Genomic DNA, 9,942 nt, shown 5'->3' on the forward strand with positions numbered 1-9,942 from the left:
TTGTCTTAGGTCAGATGCCCTAGAAGCAGAGCCTGAGATGGAGACTTATGTCTATTTGATTTATTAAAGGAGTGTTCTTAGGAGAAATTGATTAGGGAATGAGGTAAGGAACTGGAGAAAGAGGAAGAAGCTATAAAAATGTAGCTTTGAGTAAAATTTGGAATGATGTAATCAACTTGCAACAAGTGCCTTGTAGGTCTCTGCAAGTGTGTAGGTTATGGTGGGAGTCAGTTTCTTTATATTCTGCCGACAGTTTGGACATTTAGAAACAGCAGTTGGTGACAAGAAGCCCATGTGGGTGGGTATTGGCGTAGACTTGACCTCTGCCACCTGCCAACTTTAGTCAATGAGTTCACCATTGCACAAGCTGTGAGGTCACTGAGGAACAAGATTTATAAACCTTGAGGTTAATGTGTCTTGACAAAATAATTCTGTCCATTTGTTTTATTAGAAACTATTCTGCAGTGAATGCTTCCTGATACATGTTACTGTGCAGTAAAAAGACACCTACAATTTGTATATTGTTCCACAGACCTGTCTATGTATTTATTCCTCAAACATCTGTTTCCATGACTGTTAAATTTTGCTTCTTCAAGACACCAGACCAACCATTTGTAAATGCACAAATGTCAAGCTGTTTGTAAATGCACATACATCCATGTATGTCTTTAAACTAGGCCACTTTATCTCCAAATCAACTAGATAGCCAGTTGCAGTGCCAAAAGCTCTGTTCATTGGAGAGCAATCTATGCCTAGTGGCTTTTAAGTTCGTGTCTAAACATGTCTTTAGACCATTTCAATCTGCACTAACATACCAAGCCAATTCATCCCTGAATCAAGTCTAGTACATTATTCAACTCTCAGCTCACATAAGTAATATTTTCATTGTATTACTTATAATATTTTATAAATATGTCTATGAATATATATACAGCAGTGATGCTGGTACAACAGAGGGGATTGACATGAACATATGAACTACGTGTGTATGCAGTTTAGTTTACATATGACCAATACCAGATGTATGATCTTCATCTTACGATGGATGCTGCTATGTCTACTCAATAACCCAATTATGTAGTGAATTTGAAAGCAAACAGCTCATGATGGGCAGCTTGGGTGGCCAGGTCATTTGCAACTGATGGACAGGTACTCATTTATTACCAAGTCCCACTAACATGATAAGGGCTGCTTTTGAATGGTGTACAGTTTTCTGTTACAAATGGGAACAGAATCCTATAGCTTTGCATTAAAACTCTTCTTTTGAGCCTTGCTGGAGACTCCACATGAAATGTTCTTTCTCTCATAGATATTTCTAGTATTACTATGGTATACAATAGATCCTATGGACAAAGTGTCATTCTTCTTGTACTTGCCTTGAACCTGACTCAAAATGAGCAGACAGTCATATTACTCGATAAAAGGATCTAAGAGTACTCACAAGTGTAAATTATTCTGCCTCTAAACTGTGGGCACTGGCCACATATTGTGGTCATTTTTTAGTGGTAACATTGAATAGCTAGTACATTTTGAGAGAAGCTGTCCTGATATGCCCAGGAATACTGGACTGCTAAAATATTCACCAATATGGCAAACCTTTGAAACTTTGTGAGGGTTATCTATAATCTTCCAGAGTGCCTGTGTCTCACAAAAGTATGCAGAGGCTGGAGGTCTGATTAACTCACTGGAATCAATATAGTAGAGCAATGGTAAAAGTCTGCTCAATGTTCAGATTTCATGTTTTTGGTGGCTATATTGTGACAGAGAGATAGAGAAATAGCATAGCCTTGGGGCAACATGCAAATACATACTGCCATTCCAATCAAGTGATTGCAAACTCTTTTCTGCCCTCTCTTGAAGGAGAAGGGAAGAATGTCAGACCAAAAGCTGTGTACCATCTACCAAATGCTGTAGTAGTATCTTTCAGTAAGAAATGTCACATCTGGTACAACAGCTGAAATTGGAGCTGCTGTGTTCTTAAGTTTGCGGTCATCCACTGTCACCTTCAATGTTGCATCTACGTTTTTCAGGAGCCAGATAGGTGTACAAGGAGGACCACCAACCCTGAAGTCCTTGACTGTCAATTTTCCCTACCATTTCACCTGAGATTTGCCATCATTTCTTATTTACTCTGTCAACTCAGTCCCACAGGAGATAGCACCTGTTGACCATATCTTGTCACCTTGAACAACAGAATGTGCTCTGGGTTTCCTAAGGAACATTTTCATCTGGTAAGTTTGCAAGTCTCACATAGTAGGTAATTTCTAGCATTCTCAATTCTCTGAGCCTTATATTCCTTCTTCCGTCTTCCACTGTCACACACCTTACAGCTGTACTTTATTTAAGGTGGATTATGTTATTTGTGAAACTTCCAACTCCTACCCCCGCACTCTATCTGCACTGTTTCCTAAGGACTTTGCTGGACATCAAATGTATCCAATGTCATATCTCTCTTTCCCTTCCTTCCTTCCTTCCTTCCTTCCTTCCTTCCTTCCTTCCTTCCTTCCTTCCTTCCTCCCTCCCTCCCTCTCTCTTTCTTTTTCTTTCTCTTTCTTTCTTTCTCTTTTCTCTTTCTTTCTTCTTTCTTTCTTTTTTGTTTCTTCTTTCTTTCTTTCGATTTAGAGGGTACAAGTGCTGTTTCATTACATGAATATAGTGTATAGTACTGATGTCTGGACTTTTAGCGTAACCATCATCCAAATAGTGTACATTGCACCCATTAAGAGCTACTTAACCTGACAAACTGATACTGGCAGAAATGAAGAGAACATGCCTAGGAGTGGCTCCTGAGGAAGTCTGACTATGGAGGAAGGAGTATAAAGCTGGATGAGGTGAACTTGCTCGAAATGGAACAGTCTCTAGAAGGGAGTGCTACATTTTGAGAAAGTTTACCTTGAGTGCTCCACTTTGAGAAAGTTCATCTTTTCCAGCTTTATATTCCTCTCCTTTTAGTCCGGATTCCTCGAGATCCGCTACTAGGCACATTTTTTTTGTTTTTGCCAATATATGTTAGTCAGGCTCAGCAGCTCCTTCTGTATACATAATTTCATTCTACTCGTGACAGGCTCAGCTTCTCCCTAGTTAGATCTCTGGGAATTAAACTTGGCTGTTACTATAATTGGCAGGAGGAGAGAGGGTGCTGTCATGTGAGTCATTTGCATCATTTAAAGCCACCATGTAGTCTTCAAGCATGGGAGAAGGATACTGTCTTTTAATAAGAGGACAGAGTCATTTTTGCAAGTCCAGAGGCTTCAGAGTTCAAAGTTTTCCAGTGCACCTGCACCTACCCAGATCTCCCAATCTAGAGTCAAGGTACCACATCTTTCCTATAAGGACCCTGATGTTGGCATAGAAGGTTCATCTTTACTGAGCGTTTAGACTTCCCTGCTCCTGTGCTCCTGAGCTTGATATTCTGCCTTTGAGTGCCGCATTGAGGGTCACTTTAAACACTGCCAATGAGGACCTCTGACTTTAACACTTTGCTTTAAATTGATGATTAATTGAATGGAGCCTGTCCTTCTTTTCTCTCTAATGTATTAATGGTGATTTGCAACAATCATGTGATTCCGCAGTCTATAGTTATCATCTCCACTGTATCTGTTCAATACCAGAATTTTTCATAAGCCACTGTAGCCTTTGTGCCTGTATCCCCTCTCTGGTCACCACAGCTGAAAACCTTAGCAATTGTACTGCAACTGCATGCTTGAAATTATCAATACTCCTCCTTCCATGAGTAATGATATCCCAGTTGTCAGCCAACTGGAAGATGCTCCAGTTCTGGAATCTCATCGTGAGTGTCTCTTTCCTAGGACCTCTCCTAATAATGACTCTTTTAGGTTGGGTTTCTTAGAAGAATAACTTGAGTTGAGATTCATATACACGTTGATTTAATGAGAGAATACTTAATCAAGGAGCAAGTAAAGGGGTGAGGAAAGTGAAATAGGAAGGAAGAAAAGGTGAAAATAAGCAAGGATGGGATTTCAGTGAGATCTAGCTTCAGCCTCATCCTGCAGTGGGATCTAGAGTGAAAATAGCACCACATTTTTTTTTTTTTTTTGTGACAGAGTCTCGCTCTTTCGTCCAGGCTGGAGTGCAGTGGTGCGATCTGGGCTCACTGCAAGCTCCGCCTCCTGGGTTCATGCCATTCTCCTGCCTCAGCCTCCTGAGTAGCTGGGACTACAGGCGCCCACCACCACACCTGGCTAATTTTTTGTATTTTTATTCATTTATTTATTTATTTTTAGTAGAGATGGGGTTTCACCATGTTAGCCAGGACGGTCTCAATCTCCTGACCTCGTGATCCACCCGCCTCGGCCTCCCAAAGTGCTGGGATTACAGGTGTGAGCCACCACGCCCGGCCAGCACCACATTTTATTTCAACATGGGGGAATAATTTTTATACCCAGTCCATATTTAATTAATTTGTTAATTAACGATCAGAAATTGCAAGTCAGAGTAAGCTTTGGACGACATGACTTGTATTACCCAAGGGCAACCCTTCAGAGATATGTGCAGATTTTAGCTGTTATGTAGGCTGTCTGCTGCAGCACTAAAATCAATACATAGTCTGATATAAAATTATATTTTCCTTCCTAGTTAAGCTTATTTAAAATCCATAAACTTTACACAGGAATTACTTTTATATCTCAATAAATGTATATATTTTATGTGTACATATGCTATTAAAATATATGTATATATGTATATATATATCAGTATATGTATATATATACAGATAGATCATTGATAAGTGATAAGTGATTGGTGATCAATGCACAAGATGATAGAGAAATAGACATAGGCAAATAAGAAAATTTTGTAATTATTCAATTAACTAATAAGCTGTCTTTCCTTGGGTTTTACTTTGTAATTTGTTCGCTGAGGGTAAGTTTGGGCCTTACTGTTATAGAGCTAGAGAAAATGACACATTGGGGGGTGGCAAAACAAAAAGATTAGGATTCTCTTTGTAAATTAGCTGCCTCAGGTTAGATGGGTTCAGCAGGTTAAAGCAATGCAGAAATGGTTCTATCAAAAGTTAAAAGGATCAACACACAAAACTGCTTTGGCTGGCAAATATATTCAGAGGACTCTGAGGGTCTGAGTCCTTTAAATCTTTTGTGACCCCTTTAGAATGTTCAAGTCTCATTTTTACTGATAAGTGAAGTAAGTCTTACGTAGGAAACTGGATATATTGCAGTCTCTTCATTTCTATGATGAAGGATATCTTGGTTCCTCCTGGTTTCTAGTGATTATGAATAAAGAGGCCTTCAACATCCTGCAGGATGGTCCTTGGATGGCCTTTGCTGACCCAGATTATTCTCCTTCTTCTTGCCCATAGTTCCCAGAATAACTGCAGAAGGCAACATCCTGAGATAGAAAAGAATGGCCCAAAATAGTCCAGGCTTTGGTCTTGTCCCTCTTAGGAATGTAACACATTGAGATAGAGAAGAACTGCCCAGGCATTGTTCATGTCCTGCCTGACTGTGAATTAAATTGATCTAAATTGGCACCCAAAAAGAGCAAACTCTTCATGTGAATTTTGGCTGTATGAGCACCGTATCCCAAAAAGTTAAGATTCTTTTAGCAGAGAGATAGTTCCTTTGCCTTTGAGTGTGTTTTGAGCTGAAAATTCTCAACTTATTTTCCACTCTCTTTTCTTCACTTCTCTGGCACCGTTAGAAATAGCCAACCTAACTCTTCAGTTTCTGTATTCTTTGTGCCCCTGATAATATTACTTATGAGTTGCTATCTAGTTCTCAAAGCCTTGCGTTTATTTTGCACATCTTTCTAAATAACATATGTGATAATTTAACTGCTTACTTCTGTAGGAGATGGCTCCATCTTATTCCTTTCTGTAATAAAAGCATGCTTTTCATTATTTTCACACCGAAAGAGATCTAACAACCATTTCTCTAGTTCTCCATTCTCTTTTTTACTTTGAGCATCTTCTACCTAAAATGCTCTTGGTACTAAACTAGTAGTCACTGTTCCTTAGTGCAAACACTGGAAATAATCCTATAAAAATTGTGCAAAAATTATTTTTAAAGTGTTTATATTCACTAAATTTCTGGAAAGTCTTGAAACACACACACACACACACACACACACACACACACACGGATATATAAATCCAAAATTATACCATGGACTGTTCTGCTGGTGAAACATTTCTGCTGTTAGGGAGCATGAATATTAAAACTCCATTACAAATACTAGACTCTTAGATTCTTATATTGCTGTTAATGCTGAATCTGAAAGCTGAATATCTCTTCTGCTGACCTATCAGGGTGAAATCTCTAGGTGGCCTAATTTTTCAGTTCTACTAGCATCTAGATTAGGTAGATCTGATTGTCACGGTCATAAGGGAGGCTAAAAAATATAAAGTTTTAGTCCTAGTCTTGCAAAATTATGCATTCAAGATTTAGAAATTTCCCAAATATTTGGAAGGTGTTCAAAAATGCTCATTGGGCAGAGAGCATGCTAAATTGCATGAAAAATCTAGCGAACTTTTGGAAGAACCTGTATGTTCCTTAAGTGGCATATGAGGCAGTATTTATAAGGCAAAAGAAATAGTTATATGAGAAGAGACAAAATGAAAGTAAGTCAGAATAGCAGGAACACAGATGTATAAGGCTATAGCTATGGCAAGGGAAAATTAGGGAGGGTACCAAGGACAAGCAATAAGGCTGGTTAAGCAAGCAGCAACTTAGGTGATGCAAGACTTCATGAGCATCATTAAGGCAATAAACACTGAGCAATGGAAAATATCAAGAACTATGAGGTGTCTAAGATTTTTCTTTACCTGCAAACTGTCAAGTTTCATGAATTCCAGTTCTGTGGAAAAACACAAGATTTTCCTGACAGACATAAAGGATAGTTTAATATTCATAGCCATGACAATAAACAGTTATCTTGTTGGTCTGCTAAGACCAAATACCCACAGGACCATGTGAAAAGTAACAGATGACACCTGCCCCTGTAGTGTGTTAAACGACAGAGGAGAAACGCTGAGTTTAGTGGACCAACATGTTTTATCTTGGATACTAAGCTTATTTGCTTTTCCTCTGTAGCAAGACATTTCATTATTTTACCAGAAATAAGCATGTCTTCCCTTTGTTCCAAAAGGAGACATTATCTCTACATGCCAAGATTGTTCACTATAAAAATATTTTTGAAAAGATAGTGCGAAACCAAAGCCAGTCAGTTTGTCTACTTGAATGGTATGTAGACACGTGAGGGAGCCGGGGAGAACCATTAAATAATCCCAGTGTGAAGATACTTGATCTATAACTCCTCTTCTTCTCCTTCTTCATCCTTTTCTAAATATTCTGTGGAAAATAAAGAATGATGTAAGGGTTTGAGACCAGCCTGGCCAACATGGTGAAACTGTCTCTACTAAAAATACAAAAATTAGCTGAGCATGGTGGCGGGTGCCTGTAATCTCAGCTAGTCAGAAGGCTGAGGCAGGACAATTGCTTGAGCCCAGGAGACAGAGGTTACAGTGAGTGGAGACTGCGCCACTGTACTCCAGCCTGGGTGACAGAGTGAGACTCCATCTCACAATAAATAAATAAATATAAAATAAAATAAAAAGAATGATGCAAGAGTATCCTTGTTGAATAAAGTGAATGGGAGTTTGGGAGTTCTAGAGAACAAACTTCAAGAGAAGAGAAGAAGCAGTTGTATGTTGGGTTAAAAAAGAAGTAAAGAACTACATAGAAAGTATGAGAAAAATTATATATCCAATACTTTATCAGACAAATGGTTGTATGTTTAATAATTACACACAATAATATCCCTTCACCACATGTAATTTATGAATACTTGTAGGTAATACTGCAAATGCAATGACTTACTTTTGTCCAGTTAAAAAGCAATAAATGCACACCTGCATATAACACAGACAGCATAAGCTTGTAAATATCACTATTTTATGCACATTTATATACATATATATTTTATGTGTGTATACATAAATATGTGCATATTTATTATTTAAAATATGCACATATTTATAGATATGCTATATGTATACAAGTGTTTATTTATTTACAATTCTATCTTTATTAAGTGAAAGCTGGTCCCAGATTGGAAATTAAATTTTGCTACTATTAAGTTAAACATTGTACAAAACACCTTATTTTAACTGTGAATAGAATTTGCAAATGAATCATACACCTAAGACAACTTGAGACAACCGTTCAACTCTATCTAATATATCAGATATTTCCAGGAGGAAATCCAGAAACCCAGACTGTAGACACTCAGCAACTTTTTTTCCATATTTTAGTATTTGTTGTGAGAATTCCAATTGTAAATTGCATCCAAGACTATTTACTTTATGGACCTAGAATCAGAAATAAAGGAGAAGTGTATTACCTAGATTTTGAATTGAGTCATGATTTTAAATTTAGGTAAAGGAAAAGCTGATTTCTAAAACTCTGAGCTTTGTTTTCTCATCATTTCCAAAATCACAGCCTGGAGCTATGGCTATTGCTACTTCTGTGAGACTGGTGTCTGTTGCTGTCTTCACTTGCTTTATTGTTTATAGTATTCACAATCTCCTTCTCTATAATTTCTCTAAGGATTTTTATCTTCTGTGTCAAAAATATACATCTTTTACAGATTCCACAGGCAAGCAACAAATGTAATAGTCACACATATATGAACATAAATCTTGAATATTCCATTACTTCCCAAGTTTGTTGGCTTAAGAAGTACGTTTTTAAATCAGAAGTTTTATTGTTATTGTTGTTCATCTTCTGCCTTGTTTCATATACTAACAATGGATGCTTTATGCTAGAATTATAGAATATTTCAAAAGACTGACCATTGTGTAAACCCAAAGTCTTAGAATTCTACTTAAATATTTCATGTTTTCCTAATATCACATCAGAATTCTTGCAAGTAATAAAACCTGCCCTACCTCCTTTAGATTTGTTCTGATTGGGTGTTCACCAATTGTAAGTCAAATTTTTTTCTTAACAAATTCATACTATTTTAAATGATATTAATTTCCCCAGTAAATAACACAATTGTTCTAAATATTTATTTTGACAATATAAATTCACTACACTAATAATTTATATGAATCTTTTATATTTTCTTGATATATTAGGATATTACTTGCATAATTTGGTTTACTTTTAGAAATAACATAAGAATTTTTAAATGTTATCTTTCCAAAAAGCATGTTTATTATTATAAGTTTGGTTTGTTGGCACCATGAATAAGACTCTTAAAAATTAATATTCTATATGGTAATATTTGAATAAGATGAAATACAGAGGAACCTAAATTTATTCCTGTGAACAGAAGATGTGATAATGTTGAATATGTGAATTACAATTCAGGAAAGTATTATTTTATATTTTTACAGACTATACATCTAAGATGCAACTTTTAACTTAAAAATTTCTTTTTCAGGAAAGTATAGGAAATAATTTTTTTGGCCAACAAATAATCTTCAGCTATTCAAATATTTTCAAGCAACTGGAATTGCTTTTCATCAATGCTTTTAGTCTGAGCAGAATGGAATATTTAAGAAAACTTGGTCCCCTGAAGTGATGAGCTGACACACAGTCAGGGGTTACATTATATAACTTAATTGGCCTCGACTCTTTTTGGCTCAGTTGCTTCTTTTATATTTGTTTTATCCTTATTTTAAACCTCACATACACTTAATTATAGTAAAAAAAATAAGACATTCCTCTTAGCATTCCAGGAAGAGGCCTTACTTGTTTTTCTTAAATATATTGCCCTTTACACACCAGGCTTCAGGAAAAATTGTGATGGTAATTTTATATACATATGTATATATATGTATTTTTTTTCAGATGGAGTCTCGCTCTATCACTCCGACTGGAGTACAGTGGCATGATCTCAGCTTACTACAACCCCCACCTCCCTGGTTCAAGCAATTCCCCTGCCTCAGCCTCCCAA

This window comes from Homo sapiens, chromosome 5 (assembly GCF_000001405.40).
Source record: "Homo sapiens chromosome 5, GRCh38.p14 Primary Assembly".
Classification (NCBI taxonomy): Eukaryota; Metazoa; Chordata; class Mammalia; order Primates; family Hominidae; genus Homo; species Homo sapiens.